The following is a 23709-nucleotide window of genomic DNA, read 5'->3' as shown; positions in this document are numbered from 1 at the left end:
GAGCCTTTGGGTGTTGGGCCTCGAGGGAGATCAGAAAGCGGGGGTTGCGGGGGACGCAACGGCGACACTTGGAAGGCACGGATTCCGGAGCGGCGAGTGTCGCTCCTCCCCACGCTCCACCCCTGCCCCCACCTCCCACCTCTCGCTGGAACAAGTGGATTCGCTGACTGGTTAATGAATGTACCCTTAGAAGTGGCTTTTTAAAAAACTTAGTCAACCACCAAAAATTGTCATCAGTCCCTCCTCCCAAACTCTTGAGGAATTCTACTCTCTTGTCTTCAGCATATACTTTGGCCTACCCTAGAGGAAACCCAATCAACCATTAACCCTCGGTTTATGAAGAGGTTACAGAAATTTACCAGGAAAGGTAACGATGATGCTTTTAAGAAAATTCCTTACGTTTGTTTCTGTGCCAAATTCTGTATGACTTATATTTTAATCGAGAGAGGCTAGTAGTCATATGTGAAAAGAGATGATTGTCATAAGAAGCATTAAGAGTTATGCTACATTTACCCAGAGCGGTATTTAAATTTCAACGTGCATCACCGTCACCTGAACACGTATTAAAACGCAGGTATCTGGGCCCCATTCCCAGAGTTTCTGATTCAGTAGGTCTAGAGGAACCCGGTTTTTTAAATTTCTAAGAAATTCCCAGATGCTGCTGCTACTGCTGCTGCTGGTGGTCTCGGACCACACCGTGAAAAACACAGAATGTCCAGCCTAGTTTTGGGGAATAGAAATAACTGAACTGTTTTCCGCTGGCGTCCTGTGATTTTATTATCATGAAAAAGTCACTAAACCCGGGTCTAAAGACCTGAGGTGTTTGTTTTGTTTTGTTTTGGTTTGTTTTGTTTTGTTTTGTTTTGTTTTGTGTTTGAGACGAGGTCTCACTGTCGCCCAGGCTAGAGTGCAATGGCGCGATCTTGGCTCACTGCAACCTCCGCCTCCCAGGTTTCTCCTGCCTCAGCCTCCCCAGTAGCTGGGATTACAGGCGGGCGCCACCACACCCAGCTAATTTTTGTATTTTTAGTAGAGACGGGGTTTCACCACATTGTCCAGGCTGGTCTCGAACTCCTGACCTCAGGTGATCCACCCACCTCGGCCTCCTAAAGTGCTGGGATTACAGGCGTGAGCCACCGTGCCCGGCCAAGACCTGAGTTTTAGTCTTACTGCAGGATGCCCTATTGAATAAAGCAAGAAGGCATAGCCCACACTGTTATAATAAACAGAAACTCAGTTTCTCCATCTGCAAAATGGGAGTTGTTAAGTCCTGCTAAGTCCCTGTCACTGGACTGGTGAAGGAATCAAGCAAATAAATGGATAGGAAGTCACCTCAGATGATAAAGTTTTCAGTCAGCATGAGGGTGTTACAGACCCTAGGTGCTTTTCAGACCTCAAAAAGCCAAGAGCTGGGTTTAACATAGGAAGGCCGCTGGAGCAGGGCATCCTGACCTCAGAATTTCCCAGGCACCCACCGTGTGGGGAGACCTGTGATTTTCTTGCCTGGCTTTTGGCGCTTTCGTATTAAGCCTCCTCAATTTGGCCCCGTTGAAATGCCGCATTCCTCACCCTCCTTGCTTAGTGTCTGGGCCTCAGGAAGAAAGGAAGTGATGGTGGTTGGAAAAATGGAAGAAGGGACAATTTTACACTTGTGATTTTTTTAGTTTGCATTTGTCTCTTTTTTTGTTTTATTTTGACATAACTTCAGACAAAGTGCAAGAATTGTACAAAGAATACCCACATATCTTCACCTGGGTTCCTTAATTAACATTTTACTCTGTCTCTACACATGCACAAATTCTTTTTCTAAATGATGGAACAATCTCCCTACTATAAATTATTATTTTACTCTTTTAATTAATAAATATCTTTCTGAGAAGTATTTTGAGATTATATAAATACCATCCTGTTACTTCTCCATTGTTTGCTCATTATAGTGGTCTTTGATTCTTGTTTGTCTTGATATTATAATGGTTGCTAAATTCTGGTATTCCAGTTTCATCATGCCTTCTACGTGTATTCGTTGTCATTCTACTGTAAAAATGAGCTTTCCTTTATTATTAAATAACAGCATGGGCTATGCCTTCTTGCTTTATTCAATAGGTTATAATTCTTAAGTATTATCATTATTTTGATGTTCATATTACCCCAAATTTGGCCAGTGGGAGCTTCTAAAAGCTGGCTCTTACGTCCTTTAGAATTGGTCTCATCATTCTCTGAGCACTTCGTTACTTTTTGGCATGTCAAGATGTTCCAGAATCATTTTGCTCCACCCCTACAATCAGCCATTTTTCCAAGGAACTCTGATTCTTTTTAGTGAATGGTATTTAGAAACCAACATGTGGCTACTAGGTGTGCTCATTGCTACTGAGGTGACATTGGGTTTTGATTAGTCCATCTATTCATGAGCAGCATCCGCAAGATACTATAGTTCTTCTCTTTACGATATGTCTTCAATCATCTGTATAGGAAACATGAGGCAGTGTAGCTTCGTACAAATAGGTTGGATGCAGGGTGGGACAATGTGTGTTCAGTCTACTTATCAGATAGATGAAGGACCTTAGTTCTCACAGTTACCCTAAGGTAACTCTGTGCCCGGAAAATCACCAAAAATAGCTCCTTCATTTTCTGTGAGCAACTCCTGAGCAAAAACATACAAAATACTGCAGGAACAAGCAACCATCTGAAATAGTTATACATCTTTTTCCCTAGGAAATTAAATGCAAAACTGCCTTCAATATAGACAACCTTTGACATTCTCAGCAAAGCATGTTTCCCTCTTGAACGGCATCGCAAACATCTGTCCAATCGGCTCTGCGTTCTATTTGTGTAACTAAATGGCCTATTTTATTTCCTCAGAACAAAGAATATTTTCTAGAATACTCAAAGGAACAGTGTTTTCAAATAGCTACTTCTTGAAAGATTACTCAACCCTTTGGAAAAAAAAAAATAGGTTTTCCATCTTCCACTACAGCTATCTAGGCTCAACAGCCTTAGAGCCAAGTTTTAGTCAAAATTAAGACTCAAATGTTCCCTCTCCTATCCCTGAATCTGTAAAAAGAAAGCATCTTTTTCCAAACTCATGGCTTAGGAGCTCAGCCCTAAGATGTCTGGACAAGTCCTATCTGTATACTCTTTCCGCATCTTGATACAGAGGTCTTTGTCTTCCTTAGGCAACAATTCCTCCTGATAATAAAGAGTAAAATTTAGTTCAGCACCCGGGGCATGGAAAGGTCTTTAATTCTTACAACAGCCCTCTAAGGCAGATCTTATACCATCTCTATTAATTTGTGGATGAGGAAATTAAGGCACAAAGAATGTGGGAAATTTGTATAGGATCCCCCAGCAATGAAATGCCTAGGTTTAGAATTAGAATCTAAACCTAAGCAGTTTATCCCAAAGCTCAAACCCCATGTCGTCCCATCTGTCCCACTTACCTAACCAATTACTGGTAGATAGAATATCCCATTAAGGTCCTTCAACAGTGCCTCTTGCATAAATGATACTTGACATTTGTATTAGTCATCTATTGCAGCATAACAAATTATTCCAAAACTTAGCAGCTTCAAACAACAAACATTTTTAATCTCACAGTTTCTGCAGGTCAGTAATCCAGGCATAACCCCACTGAGTGCCTGAATGGTTTGGATCTGTGTCCCCACCAAAATCTCATGTTCAATTGTATTCCCCAGTGTTGGAGGTGGGGCCTGGAGAGAGGTGATTGCATCATGGGGGTGGGTCCCTCGTGAATGGTTTAGCACCATCCTTGGGCACTGTTCTTGTGAGTGAGTTCTCACAGGATCTGGTTATTTAAAAGTGTGTAGTGCTTCCCCTATCTCTTTCTTGGTCCTGCTCTTGCCATGTAAGATGCCTGTTCCCACTTTGCTTTCTGCCATAATTGTAAGTTCCCTGAGGCCTCCTCTAAAGCTGATGACACCATGATCCTGTACAGCCTACAGAACCATGAGCCAATTAAGTCTCTTTTCTTTATAAACCACCCAGTCTCAGATATTTCTTTATAGCAGTGTAAGAACCAACTAATACAGTGTCTGTGGCTCAAGGCATCTCAGGAAGCTACAGTCAAGTTAGGGCTGCTGTCTCATCTGAAGGTTCAACTGGGTATGGACCCATTTCCAAGCTCATTCACATGATTATTGACAGGATTCAGTTTCTTGAAGGTTGCTGGACTGAGGCTCTTATTCCTCACTTCATGGAAGCCCACTGTTTTTCTTGCAACTTGAACCTTTCCACAGGGTAGCTCACAACGTGCCAGATGGCTTCCCTTAGATCACTCAAGAGAGAAATAACATGCCATCACCTCTGCTGCATTCTGTTTTCTAGAAGTGAGTCACTAAAGCCAAGCTCACACTCAAGGGGAGGGATTTATACAAACGTATGAATTCCAGGACATAGAGATCATTAGGGGTCATCTTAGAAGCTCCAGGCACATTTATAATGAACCATGAAAATGTTTAATTATTAAGACAATTACAATAAAGTGACAAATAAAAAGAGCAACTTCTAATAGAAATGATCTCCCTCACATAGAGATAGCAAGCTCTTGGCACCCACGCAATCACAAAAACTATTGATCTTCCCAACAGGAGGGGCTATCTTAGAGGATCTACCATCAGAACTCAATGGGACTAAGAAAAGAAGATTCTTTATTGGTTCTTACTGCTGTCATCATTTGCATTACTATCAACCTCATTAACATCATCATTACCAATTAATGATTACTTACTATACGGCAAGCAATGTGCTAAGAACTTTTCATGTGTGGTCATATTATTGTGTTTTTTTTTTTTTCAGAAGATAGTCTTAATGGCAATCATATTTTTCAGATAAGTGACACAGTGAATTTTCATTCTCTTTTTTTTGAGATGGAGTCTCACTCTGTCACCCAGGCTGGAGTGCAGTGGCATGATCTTGACTCACTGCAACCTCCCCCTCCTGAGTTCAAGTGATTCTTATGCCTCAGCCTCCTGAGTAGCTGGGATTACAGGCAAGCACCACCACGCACAGCTAATTTTTGTATTTTTAATAGAGGCGGGATTTCACCATATTGACCAGGCTGGTGATGATCTCCTGACCTTGCGACCCCCTGCCTCGGCCTCCCAAAGTGCAGGGATTACAGGCATGAGCCACCACACCTGGCCCAAATTTTCATTTTCAATAATCCTCAACTCCCAGTTGTCTCACAGTATCTTCCATTCATGGACTCAATTGTTTCCTCCATGTCAGTTCACCAAAATGTGCCTCTGAATATAACTTCTGTTTCTTTCTCAGCCTTTCCCTCTCTTTCCCCTCCCTGCCCCACCTATACCATCCCCAGTCTCTTCTCTCTTTGCCCCTATCTCCCGCTGCAGCAGTAGCCAGGAGCTAGGACAGGCTCTGTGATGAATGAGCATTCCTTCAAATTTAGAAAAACAAGATAAAAACCAGTCAAGAAAACATAATGGGTTTAAGGGGAGCAATCACCACATAAAGGAATGACCTTGAGTGTAGTTATAGCATGTCAAACAGGTGAAGGGACAGACAGAAACAGGGAGGACCTACCTTAGATAGGATGTTGAGGGAAGCCCTCACAGAAAAGGTGGACATGTACTCCAGCCCAAAGGATGAGAAGTAGCCCAACTTGCCAAGACTACAGTGATCCCATAGATATATGAAACATTAGAATAATAATTGTTCCTTCTTACTGATTTTGTAAGAATGAGGCATTTTATATATATAAATATATATATTTACGTATTTTTATATATTTACATATTATGTATAAAATATATAAATAAAAACAATGAGACATGTTATATATATATGGGTATACAAATATATATAATGCCTCATTCTTATAAAATTAGTAAGAAGGAACAATTATTATTCTAAGTTTCCAAGAAGGAACTGAGGTTCTCAGATGTTAAGTAATTTGCCCAAGGTCGCACAATGAATAAAGCCAAGATTTAAACTAGATCTATGAATTCAGACCCATGCTTCGTCACCATCCACTGCAGCTTCCACAGGAATGTAAGAACCAACATGATAAACCAGTGTTACTTTAGTCCCAAGAAATGCATGCACCAATTTACTTGAAAACATTCAGGAAAAACTATGAAGAACTGCTTGAATATCTAATCACATAAGAAATCCTCAAAGCCATCTCAAACTCTCTGGGGAAAACTTTTGCCTCGGTTGTCTCAATCCTGAAGTTCAAGATGAGTGGGATTTGGGGCAGGATTAAAGAGCATGGTGAATGAAATTCTTTGTCAGCACTTCTCCCCACTGCCTGCAGTCAACTGCCTGCCATTCTTGCTGGGGAAAGACGGCCTTGTAAACTTGCTCTTGGCCAAGTTTATCAATTGCTGATTGTCCACTGTGCTATAACAGAAGCCCAGACAATCATCAGTCAGGGAGGTGCATTCCTGCCTAAGTGCCTCCAGTTTGGAATTTCTGTTTGTGGCAGCTACTGTTTTCTACAGATCTCTGCCACAATACCTCCTGTTCACATGCATATCTATGATATGATATTGCCACACTTCCGTCAAGAAGTAGAAACCGTCTCTCCACTCGCTTCACTCTGGGCAGGCACCGTGATTTCTTTAGCCAATAGAATAGAACTGAAGGGATACTGCATGAGTTCTGTCTGTAGACCTAAGGTCTCATCGTTCCCAGTCCTGCCTCATGGAAGCCAGCCACCATGTAACAAGTGCTACTACCCTGTATTCATCATATTGTGAAGAAGCTCAAGCTAGTCACATGGAGAAGGTGTGCAGACAGAGTGCTGATGGCCAATCCCCAGCTGCTCTTGCCATCCCAACCCAGGAGCCAGACACATGAGTGAAGGAGACGTTCCAGCCACAGAAGACACCAACTATGGAAGAGCTGAGGCCCCAGACTGATGGCCCCAGTTGAGCTGTCCCAGACATATCTGGCCATCCAAGCCACCCCAGCTGAAACTTCCAACTTTGTAGCAAAGGTGAGCCATCCCACTTTGCCCTGCCTGAATTCCTGATCCACAGAATTGTGAGCGTAATAAAATGGTGGCCTTTTTACATCACCATGTTTTGGGGTGATTGATTACATAGAAATAGATAATTGTAACACCATTGTTCTTATAATATATGCATGCTACATGTAGAACTACAATTTATAAGAATCCAGGCAGAAAATAATATTTTAATGACATGCTGATTATGCATCTATGGAGAGTCAGCTTTTATAAAGAAAAAAGAATGTCCTTCTATATTATTTTGATAGCACAGTATTGTAGATAGATTACCTTCTCTGCTGTGTCATGATGCAGTGTGAAAGCCCTCGTCAGAAGCCAGGTTATGCCCTTGGACTTCCCAGACCGCAGAACCATGAGCTAAATAAGCCTCTCCTCTTTATAAATGACTCAGTCTCAAGTATTCTGTTAGACTCATGAGTACATAATTCCAGGCAGCGATTGGTTACATGTCAGAAACAACAGTGTCTGCACAAAAAAACCTTACTGTTGTCAGGTACAGTGGCACATGCCTGTAATCCCAGCTACTCAGAGGCTAAAGCAGGATGATTGCTTGAGCCCAGGAGTTCAAATCCAGCCTGGGCAACATAGCAAGACCCCCATCTATAAAAAAAGATAAAATTAAAAAAATAAAAACCTGGCTCAAGCCTGTAATCCCAGCATGTTGGGAGGCCAAGGTGGGAGGGTTACCTGAGCCCGGGAATTTGAGATCAGCCTGGGCAACATGATGAGACCCTGTCTCTACATTAAGAAAGAAAAAATGAGTCAGGCATGGTGGCACACACCTGTAGTCCCAGCTACTCAGAAGGTTGAGGCAGGATCACTTGAGCCTGGGAGGTTGAGGCCACAGTGAGCTATGATCATGCCACTGCACTTCAGCTGAGTGACAGGATGGAACCCTGTCTCAAAAAAAATAAGAATAAAAACCTTACTGTAGTAGGAAGCCAGAATTTCCACAGAACTTCTATAGCCATGGGGGTGATCATTTATTCTAATTACAGGCCTTCTAAAGGATTCTTTCAATAATAACCCAAACTTAATTGTGTCATAACTCTTATGCAGTATTAGTGATTTTTTTTCATGCTTACGACTACATGTTTACCTACAAGCAGGAATCCATCAACTGTTGAACCTTCAATTACGTGTCTGCTACTGCTTATCCCAGATAAATAATAAAAATAGCTAGCATTTATATGGTGCTTCCTATATGTCATGCAGTGTGCTAAGTACTTTATGTATATTCACTTATTTAATCCACACAGCAGCCCTATGGGATAGATACTCTTGTCATCCTAATTTTACAGACGAAAATTGATTCAAAGAGAATTAAGCAACATGTGCAGGACCTCCACTGTTAAGTCACTGCTGTGGTTTGGATTTGTTTTTTGTCCTCACCAAAAGCCATGTTGAAATGTGGTGGTATTGGGAGGTGGGGCCTAGTGGGAGGTGTTTGGGTCATGGGGGCAGATTTCTCATGAATGGCTTGGTTTCATTCTCGTGGTAGTGAGTGAATTCTTTCTCCAGCAAGATGGGATTAGTTCTCTCAGGAATGAATTCATTCCCATGAGATCAGCTGTTACAAAGTGAGGTTCCTCCTCCTGTTGGGTCTTCCCATGTATCTGCTTCCCCTTTGACCTTCTCTGTCAAGTCATGATGCAGAGTGAAAGCCCTCGCCAGAAGCCAGGCTGCACCCTTGGACTTCCCAGACTGCAGAACCATGAGCTAAATAAAACTCTCCCCTTTATGAATGACTCAGTCTCAGGTATTCTGTTATAGCAACACTGAATGGACTAAGACAGTCACCAAGCCACAGTTCAAGCCCAGGCAGTCTGGTTTCAGAGTTTGTGCTCTCAACAGCTATACTGTGAGACCCCCTTCCACTGTTTTTTAAAGAGTTCGTGATGGTCTAGTTATTGTAGCCACACACGTGCGAATCACTTACTTTGAGGATATTGGCTATCTCTTGTGGTTGAGAATGAATATGATATTGAAAACACTGCCAAGGCACATCCCATACATCACTTCTTCCCACAGCCTACCAGAGACACTTACCTTAGTGAAGATCCTGTACTGATCTACCCTACGGGGAAGACTTTTTGACTGCCTGAGACACTTTCTCAAAGTGGCTCAAAATGCTCCTAGAAGCTTCTCTATCTATTCTGATTCCTCACTAAATTTTCCCAAAAGGATTCATCTTTTCTGGTAGGAAGTTTAATAGTACCACTATCAGTGAAAGCGCCTATGGCCTAACATTGAACTGCAACTGGCTTTTGAGATGCTTCTGAATAATGCCTCTGTTGACAATTCCCCCAGCCATGACCCCTCTCTACTTACACAGCACTGGCCCTGGCATTTCAACTACAATGGCAGAAGCTCATCCCACTTCAAAACCAAATTTCAAAGAGCAGTGTGCAAAACATATATCTCTTTGTCTTCAGTTTCTATTAGAGGTTTGCTTATGTTCCATTCCTGTACCTGCGACAGCAGCAATTAAGAGTGGAGACCAATCTAGCATAATACTTTCCCCATTAGAACATTTGACTCTTTACCTGCTTGTTAGTGTAAACCCAACCCAAATTTCATGCTAAATTCATTTTTATTTGAACAAAAATTCCACCAGCCAAACCAAATTATGAAATGTTGACAGTATTGGATATCCATATCATGAGCGTGCACGTCTCAGGCTTTAACACTGAGTGATTCGAAGCTACTAAATATTGCTCCCATTCGTCAACAATCATATCAGACAACTCTTGTATTCTAGGCAGTGAGCTGACTGCTGGACAAAGAGAAATAGATGTGACATGGCCCTTGTTTGGAGGGAGCTTGTAGTTTGTAAAAAGAAACAGACAAGTCATCCCCCCAAAATGAAGTTACACTAATTGGTGGAATGGTAGAAACATGTACATGCTGCAGAGCAGCAGAAAGGAGAGAGGGGCGTCAATGGAAGGAGTGGCTCATTGTAAAAGGGAATTGGGAATGAGAGGACAGCTTGCAGTGGGTGATATTGGGCTAACACTTGGGAGATGAGTACTTGTGGTATGGTATTGATGCATTATGTATAGCTCTTTCCAATCTAAAGATCTTGATCCACTGCTGAGTCTCTATCATTGGGAAGTATGTCATAAGAAAATGGTTATTAACACTAGAGTGTCAGTTTGGGATGGATTTCTTTTTATTTATTTTAAAGGTAGAGTAGAGTCAAAGTTTCTCCAGTAATAATTTTACTCTCATTCTTTTGCATATTGCTAGGCTTTATTAAGTAAGAACAGAAGGGGTGGACTTTTACAACTACCCTGCCAGGATTTGTGTGTTTCACCGTACCCTCATGAGCCTGTGTCTTTCACGTCTGTGTCTTTCACATAAATGACATCCTCCATGAGGGCTGTGGTGAGAAAAAAACAACATGACAAACTGCTGCTACAACACACACTATACTGTCATTATTTTCATAAGTATTTAGATGGACATAGATACACCTTCTTGCTACTTCATGTGAAATAACAATAGCTGATATTAGTAACAAAGGTACATGGTAAAATAAACATAATTTTTAGACATGTTTGTCTGCTTACTGGAATAGCAGCGGTTCGTTATCTGTTGATTTTTTTTAATGTAATTGCCAAGTTCTACCCTTGATTTTGTCTCCCTCAAAAAAGGAAGTGAATACTCAGTGTCTGAGGTCTCCAGCAGTGGAAATTATAACCTGCCAGGAACCCGCCATCTTGCCCGAAATACATATTCGCGAGTGAACAGGCTCTCCCTCCTCTGAGATCTCTGTAGATGGCAGGTTTCCAAAAGGAAAAGAGGAAAAAAAAAAAAAAAAGGACCAGAGCTAAAAATAGGCAGTTTTAGGAAAATGCTATGGCTAATCAGATAACTGCTATCTGAAACATGCAGGTATCAAAACATTTAAAAAGGCAGAAACACAGTCACTCATAAGAGAAAGAATAATGACTTAATACAAGTTCTGTGTTTTTGTTTTTTTTTTTTGAGACAGAGTCTCGCTCTGTTGCCCAAGCCGGAATGCAGTGGCACAATCTCGGCTGACTGTAACCTCCACCTCCCAAGTTCAAGCAATTCTCCTGTCCCTGCTTCCTGAGTAGCTGGAATTATAGGCGTGTGCCACCACACCTGACTAATTTTTGTACTTTTAGTAAAGACAGGATTTTACCATGTTAGCCAGGCTGGTCTTGAACTCCGGACCTCAAGTGATCTGCCCGCCTTGGCCCCCCAAAGTGCGGGGATGACAGGCTTGAGCCACTGCGGCTGGCCTACATGTTCTAGTTATTAAAAAGTAGAACTTCAGGGCCGGGTGCAGTGGCTCACGCCTGTCATCCCAACACTTTGGGAGGCCGAGGCAGGCGGATCACGAGGTCAGGAGATCGAGACCATCCTGGCTAATACGGTGAAACCCTGTCTCTACTAAAAATACAAAAAAATTAGCCGAGCGTGGTGGTGGGCACCTGTAGTCCCAGCTACTCAGGAGGCTGGGGCCGGAGAATGGCGTGAACTCAGGAGGTGAAGCTTGCAGTGAGCCGAGATTGCGCCACTGCACTCCAGCCTGGGTGACAGAGTGAGACTCCGTCTCAAAAAAAAAGTAGAACTTCAAAATCATCTATACTGGGCATTCAGTTATAAATGTAATTAGATTCATATGCTGTTTTACACTTAATGATTTTAGATGTGACTGACCATAGAGTTTAGAAAAATATTATATGTAATTGATTTTTCCTGATGATCCAAGATGAAGTTATTAGACATTTATCTAGAAGACTAGATCCTGTGTATTCCAGATGGAAAAATACAGATGTCTACTTTTTCAAAATATATTTGAAGTAGTTTTATTTGTAATTTGTTCACTTTTTTATATTATTGATGGAGATTGTCTTGTTAATTAAGACTTGTCTACCATCTGTAACAGTTATTGCAAATCTTGGTGTCTTCTCAGCTCATCGCTTTTTTTTTTTTTTTTTTTTTGAGACAGAGTCTTGCTCAGTCACCCAGGCTGGAGTGCAGTGCCAGAATCTCAGTTCACTGCAAACTCCGCCTCTTGGGTTCAAGTGATTCTCCTGCCTCAGCCTCTCGAGTAGCTGGGATTATAGGCACACTACCTCACACCTGGCTAATTTTTGTATTTTTAGTAGAGACGGGGTTTCACCATGTTGGCCAGGCTAGTCTCGAACTCCTGACCTCAAGTCATCTGCCCACTTCAGCTTCCCAAAGTGCTGGGATTACAGGTGTGAGCCACTGCACCCAGCCTCATCATTTTTAATTTATCCTATTTATCCTGTTTAAATATTTTGAAAGGTATAAATATAATTGGAAAAGGAATTGGATAAGCACTCCATGTCTAAAATTGTACTTCACATCGGAATAAAATATATACATAGTTTAAAAAAAAAACACTATGTTTTAACAGAAAACATACTCATTACCAAGAAAAAAGTGGAAATGGAAGGCGTTCATTTCTGACAGTAAAGCACACTATATACTCTAAAAATTTCTCATTACACCCACATAAAAATGATATATATCAGAAATAACACCTCTAGCACTCACTGGCCTTATGTTTCTGGGTAGGGTAGAGTTGCTTATGTAAGACCAGTGATTCTTCCAGGAACAACTAGAAAAGCTAGATTAAACATAAGCATGATCTGCTTACAGACATCACATAGTTTCTAAAGCAACAAGGAAAAAGGGTAATAAACTTTCAGAGAGAAGAGCCATGAAGTAATGATCCAACCTTCTGCAGCCACTTTTCCCAAAGGAAATTGCTTAATCCTAAGTATGAGCAAGAGGCTGAAAGCCCAGGCTTTGCCTGAGTAAAGCGCTGCTTCTGATGGGCGGAGAAACCAGTAGACTTTTTGGCACTTTTATGCAGCTGGAGTGACACAATTGAAGGGCCTCAAACATGGACTGTTTTCTCTTCAAGACAGCTGGAAAGGATACGGAAATAAATAACTCAGCTGAAAACTAGAGCCAAGCTTTTGGCAGCCTCAGAGTAATGATAAGACAAAGATTAGAGTTCATGACCTGCCAGGGACAGGAACCCCAGTGTACACATCAGGTCCTCAGTTGAAAGCCCAGAACTCATTAGCGTAAGAAGAGAGGTGAACCAAAGAGAGCTATGCCAAGACTGCAACCCAGAGTAGCGTCTGCTCAGTCCCTTACTGAGCAAAAGCAAAAGCTCAGTACCCCCCCGACTCTAGCTGCTTAGCAAGGGGAGGGGTAACGTTTCCCTGGAGGAAAGTAGCATCAACTGGGCCTCTCCAGTTTTGTTTTGTTTTGTTTTGTTTTGTTTGAGACAGAGTCTCACTCTGTCACCCAGGCTGGAGTGCAGTGGCGCGATCTCGGCTCACCGCAACCTCTGCCTCCCGGGTTCAAGCGATTCTCCTGCCTCAGCCTCCTGAGTAGCTGGGATTACAGGCACCCGCCACCGCACCCAGCTAAATTTTGTATTTTTAGTAAAGACGAGGTTTAGTAAAGACGAGGTTTCACCATGTTGGCCAGGCTGGTCTCAAACTCTTGACCTCTGGTGATCCACCAGCCTCGGCCTCCGAAAGTGCTGGGATTGCAGGCATGAGTCACCGTGCCCAGCCCTCTCCAATATTTTATAGACAATGTCCAGAATTCAGTTAAAAATTACAAGGCCTACCAGGGAAAAGGACTATATGGAGTCTGTTGAGTCCCTGAGGGAATGAAATATATACCAGACGCAGACTCAGAGCAGAGACTCTAAAATAACTAACATATGTTCAAGAAAAATAGAGGAAAACAAACAGTAGAGATTATTACCAGAAAAACCAAAACCTAAAGAGGAAAATTAAATGAAACTGTAAAATGGAAAGTACAATGTCTGTAATTAGGACTCAGCAGGTGGGTTCAAGACTAGACAATGCACAGTATAAGAAAGGGCTGGTGAACTGACACACAGGTCAGTAGGAAATATTCAGATTTTAAAACACAAAGGAAAACAACAATGAAAAAAAAGCACAGAAACCCCTGGTATATATTGGAACTGTGTAATACACAGGAATAATTAAAGCTCTTTGAGAATGGGGCAGAATAAATATTTGAAGAGATAACCAAATAACCAAGCAGAATTTTCCAAAACTGATATGTAACATTATCTCACAGATGTAAGAAGCTCTGCACACAAAAAAATCACACATACACACATCAAGATAAAGCTGTTGAAAACCAAAAATGAAAAGAAGATCTTAAAGTAGTTGGGTGGGGATAGAGCGTGGGGGGAAACATTACCTTCAAAGGCGTAACAGTAAGACATTTTGTCTGCTTTTTGGTAGAAATGATGGAGCTAGAAGACAATGGAATATCTTTTTAAAAGCTAGAACTCACAGCCAGTGACAATAATCTCCTAAAATGAAGGTGAACTCAAAGTGCTTTCAGAAGATCAAAATCACAGCACTAATTTAATAATTCTAGGTCTAGTGTGGCAAGCTGAATAATGGCCCTCCACAAATGTCCATGCCCTAATCTCTGGAACCTGTGAATATGGTCTATTACATGGGAAAAAAAGGACCTTTTTTATTTTATTTTATTTTATTTTTTAAGATGGACTCTCACTTTGTCACCCAGTCTGGAGTGCAGTGGCTCGATCTCAGCTCACGGCAACCTCCACCTTCCGGGTTCAAGCGATTCTCTTGCCTCAGCCTCCCAAGTAGCTGGGATTACAGGCGCCTGCCACAACGCCCAGCTAATTTTTGTGCTTTTAGTAGATACAGGGTTTCATCATGTTGGCCAGGCTGGTCTGAAACTCCTGACCTCAAGTGATCCACCTGCCTCAATCTCCCATGGTGCTGGGATTACAGGTGTGAGCCACTGTGCCCGGGAAAAAGGGGCTTTGAAGATGTAATTAATGTTACTAATCAATTGACCTTAAAATAGGGAGATTATCCTGAATTATCTGGGCGGACCCGATATAACCACATGAGTCTTCACAAGCAGAGTCTTCTTCTAGCTGAAGGCAGAAGAGAGATGTGGCAGGAGGGGAAGCTGGACAGATTTCAAGGGTGACAAGGATCTAATGCATTTTTTGCTGACTCCAAAACATAAAAGTCCTTCTGCAAGAATCAGAGGAAGGCCTCTAGGAGCATAAGGATAGTCCCAGCTGACAAGTATTTAAAGAAATAAAGCTGTCTGGGCACAGTGACTCATGCCTGTAATCCCAGCACTTCGAGAGGCTGAGGTTGGGCAGATCACCTGAGGTCAGGGGTTCGAGACCAGTCTGGCCAACATGGTGAAACCCCATCTCTACTAAAAATACAAAAATTAGCCGGGCTTGGTGGCGGGCGCCTGCAATCCCAACTACTCAGGGGGCTGAGGCAGGAGAATCGCTTGATCCCGGGAGGTGGAGGTTGCAGTGAGCCAAGATCACGCCATTGCACTCCAGCCTTGGCAACAGAGCAAGACTCCATCTCAAAAACAAAAACAAAAACAAACAACAACAACAAAAAACAGAAAAGAAATAAAACTGTCATCCTGTGACTGAGGGTTAGGGTGCCTAACATGTGCACAGGAGGCTCCTAACACAATGAGACAGAGCTGGGAGTTGGAAGAGAAGGAGAAAGGCCCAGGCAGGCTGGAAGCATGGGGCTGCCTCTGAATATTCTAAGGCAGAACTCCAAGGAATCAAAAAATTGTAAATTAGAATCTGCATTTACAGAAGATCATAGCAGTATATTTGTTAAAATAAAAAGATAGACTACAGGGATGAAGACAGTGTGGTACCAGACGCATCGATCAATGGTTTAAAAAAAAAAAAACTGAGAGCCCAGAAATAGGTGCTTCCACTTATGGTCAACTGATTTGCAATAAAGGTGCCAACAAAATGTAAGGAGAAAGAAGGTATTTTTAACAAATAGTACTGGGAAAATTGGATATTTATAAGCAAAAGCACCTTACACCATACACAAAAGTTAACTCAAAATTTATCACAGACCTAAATGTGAGAGCTGAAACTAAAAATCATAGAAGAAGGAATAGGAGTAAATCTTCATGCTCTTGGGTTAGGCAATGATTTCTTAGATATAATACCAGAAACACATGCAAGAGGAGAAAAATGGTAACTTAGACTTAATCAAAATTAAAAGCTTTTGTATGTCAAAAGACACCATCAAGAAAGTAAAAATACACTCAAATATTGGGAGAAGATATTTGCAAATCATGTATGTGATTTAAAAAACTTGCATCCAGATTATATCAAGAACTCTTAAAACTCAATGGTTAAAAGATAAGTAGCTCCATTATGGCTTGGCACAGTGGCTCACACCTGTAATCTCAGCAATTTGGGAGGCTGAGGCAAGCAGATCGCTTGAGCTCAGGAGTTAAATATCAGCCTGGGCAACATACTGAAACCCCGTCTCTACTAAAAATGCAAAAATCAGCCGGTCGTGGTGGTGTGTGCACCTGTAGTCCCAGCTACTCGGGAGGCTGAGGCACAAGAATCTCTTGAACATGGGAGGCAGAGGTTCCAGCGAGCCAAGATCGCACCACTGCACTCCAGCCTGGGTGACAGAGTGAGACTCCCTCTCAAAAAAAAAAAAAAAAAAAAAAAAATGTAGCTCAATTAGAAAATTGGCATAAGCCAAAACAGACATTTCATTGAAGAGGAGACACAGATACCAAACAAGCACATGAAAAGAAGTTCAATATCATAGCCATCAAGGAAATGCAAATTCAAATCACAAAAAGCTATTGTATCATTATACGTCTATGCAAATGACTAATAAAAAATAGTGACAGCATCAAATGCTGGCAAGGGTGCAGAGAAATCGATCACTCATACATTGCTGGAGGAAACTTAAAATGGTAAAGCCACTCTGAGAAAGTTTGACAATTTCTTATGAAACTAAACATGCAATTACTATATGACTGAACAGTTGCACTCTTGGGCATTTATCTCAGAGAAATAAAACTTCTGTTCACACAAAAACCTGCATATGACTGTTCATAGAAGCTTCATGCACAATTGTCAAAACCTGGAAACAGTTCAGATGTCCTTCCAACTCAGATACCCTTCAGTGGGTGAATGGTTAAATAAACTGTAGAACATTCTACCATGAAATACTCAGCAATCAAAAGATATGGAGTATTGATACATGAACATCTTGGATGAATTTCCAGGGAATTATGCTAACAGAAAAAAAACCAATCTCAGATTACATACTTCATGATTCCATTTATATGACATTCTCGAAATGACAAAATTATAGAAATGGAAAGCAGACTTGTGGTTGCCTAAGGTTAGGAGCAGTGGAGTGGGAGGAGGTGTAATGGAGTGGAGCCAAGTGGGGCAGGTAGATGGTATGGTTATAAAAGTCAACAGGAGGGACCCTTATGGAGACAAACCTGTTCTGCATCTTGTGGTAACAGATACACATACCTTTATCAGTGATAAAAAATGCACAGAACTCAGCCGGGCATAGTAGCTAGCGCCTGTAATCCCAGCACTCTGGGAGGCCAATGCGGGGCAGACCACCTGAGGTCAGGAGTTCAACACCAGCCTGGCCAACCATGGCCAACACGGTGAAACCCCGTCTCTACTAAAAATACGAAAATTAGCCGGGCACGGTGGTGTCTCTACTCAGGAGGCTGAGGCAGGAGAATCCCTTGAACCCGGGAGGCGGAGGTTGCAGTGAGCCGAGATGACGCCACTGCACTGTAACCTGGGTGACAGAGGGAGACTCTGTCTCAAAAAAAAAAATGCACAGAACTAAATACACATATGTGCACACACACACAAAAGAGTACAAGTGAAACAGGAGAATCAAGAGTAAGCCTGGTAGATTGTTTCATTGTTAGTATCTTGGCTGTGATATGATATAGTATGTCATCATTGGAAGAAATTGGGCAAGGGATCTCTCTGAATTATTTCTTACACCTGCATGGGTTTACAATTACCTCAATAAAATTTTTAATTTAAAAAAATGCAAAAGATTTAAGTAAACATTTTCCCCAAGATATACACGTGGCCAAAATGCGCATGAAAAGATGCTCACCATCATTCGTCACTAAGGAAACGCATACTGACAAAATCACAATGAGATACCATTTTTTACCTAGTAGAACAGTTACAATTTTTTAAAAAGGCAAACGATAATAAGTGTTGGCAAGGATGTGGAGAAACGGAAACCCTCCGACATTGTTTGTGGAAATGGAGGATGGTACAGCCACTCTGGAACAGTTTAGTAGTTTCTCAAAAGGTGAAACACAGACTTCATATGTGATCCAGCAATTCCGCTTGTATCAATAGCTATCTACCCAAAAGAAAGGAAATGAAATGAAAACATATGTCCATGCAAAGACTCGTAAACAATGTTTGGCAGGGTGTGGTGGCTCACTCCTGCAATCCCAGCATTTTGGGAGGCCGAGGCGGGCAGATCACCTGAGTTAGAGACCAGCCTGGCCAACATGGTGAAACCCTGTCTCTACTAAAAAAATAAAAAAAATTAGCCAAGTCTAGTGGCACATGCCTGTAATCCCATCTACTTGGGAGGCTGAGGTAGGAGAATCATTTGAACCCAGGAGGCGGAGGTTGCAGTGAGCGGAGATTGGGCCACTGTACTCCAGCCTGGGGGACAGAGTGAGACTCTGTTTCAAAGAAAAAAAAAAAAAAAAAGCTCTATTCACAGTAGCCAAAAAGTGGAAACAATCTATGTGTCCATGAACTGATAAATGGAAAACAAGATGTTTATGCACACAATGGAATACTATTTGACAATCAAGAAGAATGAAGGGCTAAAACACACTAAAAACTGGAAGAACCTAATGCTCAGTGAAGCAAGCCAGACACAAGTGACCACAGATTTTATCATCCTATTTATATGAAATGTCCAGAAAAGGCAAATCTGTAGAAACAGAGAACAGGTGAGTGGTTGCCTACAGCTGGGGGTGAAAATTGGGAATGACTGCTAATGAGCAAGAGGTTTCTTTGTAGGGTCATGGAAATGTTCTGAAATTAGATCATGGTAATAATTGTACAACTCTGTAAATATGCTAAAATTCTTTGAAGTGTATACTTAAAAGAGATGTATGTTATGCTCTGTAGATTATACCTCAATAAAACTGATAAAAAACAAAATTAAGATAAAGTATGTTTGCAGAACATATTGTAACGGTTGGTTTGCACTAAAACTGTTGAGTGTCTGGACATGTGGCAGGTAGTTCTCCATTTGTGCTGGAGACAGCCTGTCTGCCGTTGTCACTAATAGGACCACAGAGAGAGAACTGAGGAACTAAGCCCCGAGAAGGGGCTGGCTGGCTTGAGGGCCATGTCAAGGAGAGTGGGCAAAATGCACAGAAGTTTAGAAAAGCTCTAGTTATATTGCTTTAGGTTGCAGCAATTGCAAGATGTTCAGGATTATCTTTTATTCAAATCTGCTAGTCACTACGCAGCTGAAAGTATAGACTCTAGGCCAGGTACAGTGGCTCATGCCTGTAATCTCGGCAGTTTGGGAGGCTGAGGCCGGTGGATCACCTGAGGTCAGGAGTTCAAGACAAGCCCGGACAACATGGTGAAACCCTTCTCTACTAAAAATACAAAAATTAGCCAGGTGTGGTGGTGGATGCCTGTAATCCCAGCTACTCGGGAGGCTGAGGCAGGAGAATCGCTTGAACCCAGGAGGCAGAGGTTGCAGTGAGCCAAGATCGCACCACTGCACTCCAGCCTGGGCAACAGAGCAAGACTCCATCTCCCAAAAAAACTAAAAAAAAAAAAGAAAAGAAAAGAAAAGAAAGTATAGACTCTAAGCTAAGAACATATGACAATGAATTTACTTCCATGTTGCTCCAATCACTTTCCTGAATCCTCTCCTAAGCCCAGTGCTATGATTTTAACATGTTCCCTCCAAAATTCAGGTGTTGAAACTTGGTGGCCAGTGTGATGGTATTAAGAGGCGGGGTCTTTACGTGGTGATTTAAGAAGTAAATTACCCAGTTTCTGATATTTTGTTACAGCAGCACTAAACAGACAAGGACATCCAGGCTTCCACTTACCTTTTCAGCGAAGATGCAGACAACAGTGTCACCCTAGCCACAGCTGGGACTGATGTTTTCTCCTAGAGTTGAATCTCTGTGTTGGTGCACTGCTCTCCTTCTAACTCCTAGGACTCAACCATAGTGTTTTGTAAATCACTGACCTTTTGATGTCTTTCCTAATCAACTCCATGGGTAACATTAAATAACAATATATTGAAAGTAAATCCAAACTTAGTTGGTCACAATTTTGATATAATTCAGCATCTTATGGCCAAAAACTTTGGAACAGGCCAAAAACTTGATGTACAGTTTCCTAGTATCTCCACTAATGTTTCAAGATGGTACAAGTTGGGGAAGGGATTACAGCTAAACAAAAGCAATTTTGTGGTTCTGAATATGATCAGACCAGCCCAAGCATTGTATTCTCAGAAAGGAAATGTGTTGTCAAGCCTTAATGAAGAGGTAAGTGCTCTTTCGTGAATCTGCTTGGTGGCCCAAGGATCTGAGGGATTACCACCTGGATTTGATGAGTCAGACTCTAAATATTACAACGTTAGCACCGGCCATGTCTGTTGCTCAGATCTCCCCTTTTGTGGCACCCTGGCTAGAGGCTCAAACGATTTGGGAAGCTCGGATCCCAGGCTCAGATCCCGTCTGCCAGTCCTTTTCTTTAAGGATCATCCAATGCATGGGAGGGTGACACTGCCCTAAAAAGAAAGTCAGAGAAATCTGCCAATGCATGTGGTGTGGGAAGAAGCTATCAGAGGCTGGTGTCACTGACTCTGTGGGTAAGCCCCCTGCCTGAATTTTCTTTAGCTCCCCTCCAGATCCCTGCCCCACCCCTTTCTTTCCTGCGCCCCATCAGGAGGCAGGCTGCCATGGGATGCGCCAACAGGCCCTCTTGCCCTCTGACTTCCGGCTGGACCTAGCTGATGGGAGAAATTGGCAGGAGCTGGGAGGCCGGGAGGAGAGGAAATGGTGTACTTTTCCTCACTCTTCCTAGTCAGGCCTCAGGGTGGGCAGTAGCGGGGTTCCTCTCCCCAGGGCTGGGCTGCTCTCCAGGGACCTTTTCTACACTGGTTGGTCTTGCTGGGTGAGTATCCACTCCCTTCCCTTGTTCCTTCAGGCCTAGGAGAGGGTACAGAACTTGCTGCTATGGCCACCCCAGGGTGCTTCACTGCCCCTTGTTAGTTTCTCTTAGCTCTGCCCCTCCTTTGTAAGTAGTCCCTTCATGAAACCTGCTTCCATCACCCCTTTTGTGAGTGCCGTCTGTTTCCTGCCAAGCTCCAAGCAGTTACTTGGAGCAACCATTGGTGAGTAAAATTGGGAAGCACTGGAAAGGGATTTGATATTTTATTTTATTTTATCCTGCTCTCAATTTTTTTTTAATATTTAAAAATGAGCAAGTGTTACTTTGGGGATGAAAAACAGCCCACAAATGTATACACACACTCAAAAAAATCAAAACTAACCTAAAAGTTAATAAATAATATTACACGTAATAGAATGCATGTAGGATATGTACCTATTTCTTTCACTGTGAGGAGTTCAGACAAAGATATAGTAGGTGTGTCCTACATGACATAAAGATTTGACTGTAAGAGTATGTGCTTGTGTCATATTGATGAAAACCTTCTCTTAAGTCTCTAAAAATGGAATTCATCACCAAGTATGGACTCAAGAACAAAAAGAAAACTTTAAAGTAGATATTAGAAAACAAAGAATTTAAGATTGCATTAAAATTATATAACATTAGGCCAGGCATGGTGGCTCACACCCATAATCCCAACACTTTGGGAGGTCGAGGCTGGCAGACCACTTGAGGCCAGGAGTTCGAGACCAGTCTGGCCAACATGGTGAAACTTCATCTCTACTAAAAATACAAAAACTAGCCAGGCGTGGTGGCTCACATCTATAATCCCAGGACTTTGGGAGGCCGAGGCGGGCAGATCATTTGAGGCCAGGAGTTTGACACAAGCCTGGCCAACATGGTGAAATCCTTTCTCTACAAAAAATACGAAAATTATCAGAGTGCAGCGGCAGGCCCCTGTAATCCCAGCTGCTTGGGAGGTGGAGGCAGGAGAATCGCTTGAACCCAGGAGACGGAGGCTGCAGTGAGCCAACATCGCACCACTGCACTCCAGTCTGGGTGACACAGTGAGACTCTGTCTCAAAATATATATATAAAATACTACTTAATCTAAAAAGATTATTCCCAAAAAATGCATTTGCTAGGGATTTAGTGATGCTTCAGCATTCAGATGCATCTATATGATATATTCTCCCCAAAACCACGTTTGTTTAAAACATATGCTTATTTTGAAAGTAATGTAGCAACATTTTCCTAATTAATGTTCTCATACATAATTTTAAAACATTTATTCATGACTAAATATAATATTAGATCTGTGACTTTACATAGCTAAGCATTTTTAAAATAAGCCTTACTTACAATAAAATGCATACTTACAATAGAAAATATTTGACTTAATAGATGAGAGTATTATTGAATACTGATTCTCTAACAAAAAATAGAAACAATCTAAATGCCCATTTGTATTCAAATGGCCAAATAAAATACATTTCCACAATGTAATGCTATAGAGCAGTCACAAGGAAAGAACTAGATCTGTTTGTAGTATAGTGAATATATCTCAAAACACATGTTGAATGAAAGCAGCAAATTCCATGATAGCATAATGTGCCTTTGTGAGAAACAAACTCCACAAATAATAAGTTCTTTGCTTTTTGTTTCTTAAGAAACATGACATAGTATTTGTTATGAGCCAGGCACTCTCTCAGCACTTGACAGATATTAACTCATAATTTTCAGAGCAGCCCTGCCAGGAAGCCTATAATGTTGTAGATTTCCTAGAGATGGGAAACTGAGGCTCAGAAAGGGGAAGTTACTTGCCCAAGGCCACAGAGCTTCTAGAAGGAGGCACTTGGATCCAAACCAAGGTGGGCAGACTCCATAGTCTGTGCTCCTGACTACTGCCTCTTGTGAGGCTGGGAAAGATGGACGTTGGCTGTGGGATTCAGGGAATGCCTGAGCAAAATGCTGCTGGAATTAGCCACACTCTACTTCCCCATCTCTGGGGCATCTACTCATAAGCCATTCATCACTCTCTTCCCTTACCCAGTCCCAGGTGTTCTGGGAGTAAATAGTTAATGTCTTCTTCCTTCTGAAAAGAGCAGCGGGACAGTTGGCAACCTCTTACATCCTGGAAGAAATAATGTCATCCATTGTACGTTTCCATTCATATGGTTAGTAACTTTGGAAGGCTGTGAGGACCCAGGCTTTTGTTCTCTTACACGTACTGTCCCAGAAAGAACACTGAACGTGGAGTCGGAAAAGCTAAGTTTGGGTCCTGGTTCCAGCACTTAAAAGTGGGAAAGTCAGTAGAGTCAGAGATAAAGATGTTTGGCTGACTACGTCTTCCCCAAACTTCAGTAGAGAAGAGGATGATGTGCTCCTTTATCAGTCAGGGGAGCGAGGTTTTTGCTGTTGTTATTGTTGTTGTTTGTTTAAATGGGAGTCTTCCATTATCACTCACCAAACAAATGTTTAACGAGTGTCCAGCTAGGCTGAAAAAAGGAATTTACAGTGTAGGTGGGAGACATGAGACCTACATACCTGAAATAAAAGCCAAAATTTAAAATAATGATATGGCCTTAACTGTGTGGAAGAGAGTATTGTT

Source organism: Homo sapiens, chromosome 4 (assembly GCF_000001405.40).
Source record: "Homo sapiens chromosome 4, GRCh38.p14 Primary Assembly".
Lineage (NCBI taxonomy): Eukaryota > Metazoa > Chordata > Mammalia > Primates > Hominidae > Homo > Homo sapiens.
The sequence above is the reverse complement of the archived record's forward strand: the minus strand, read 5'-3'. Positions refer to the sequence as shown.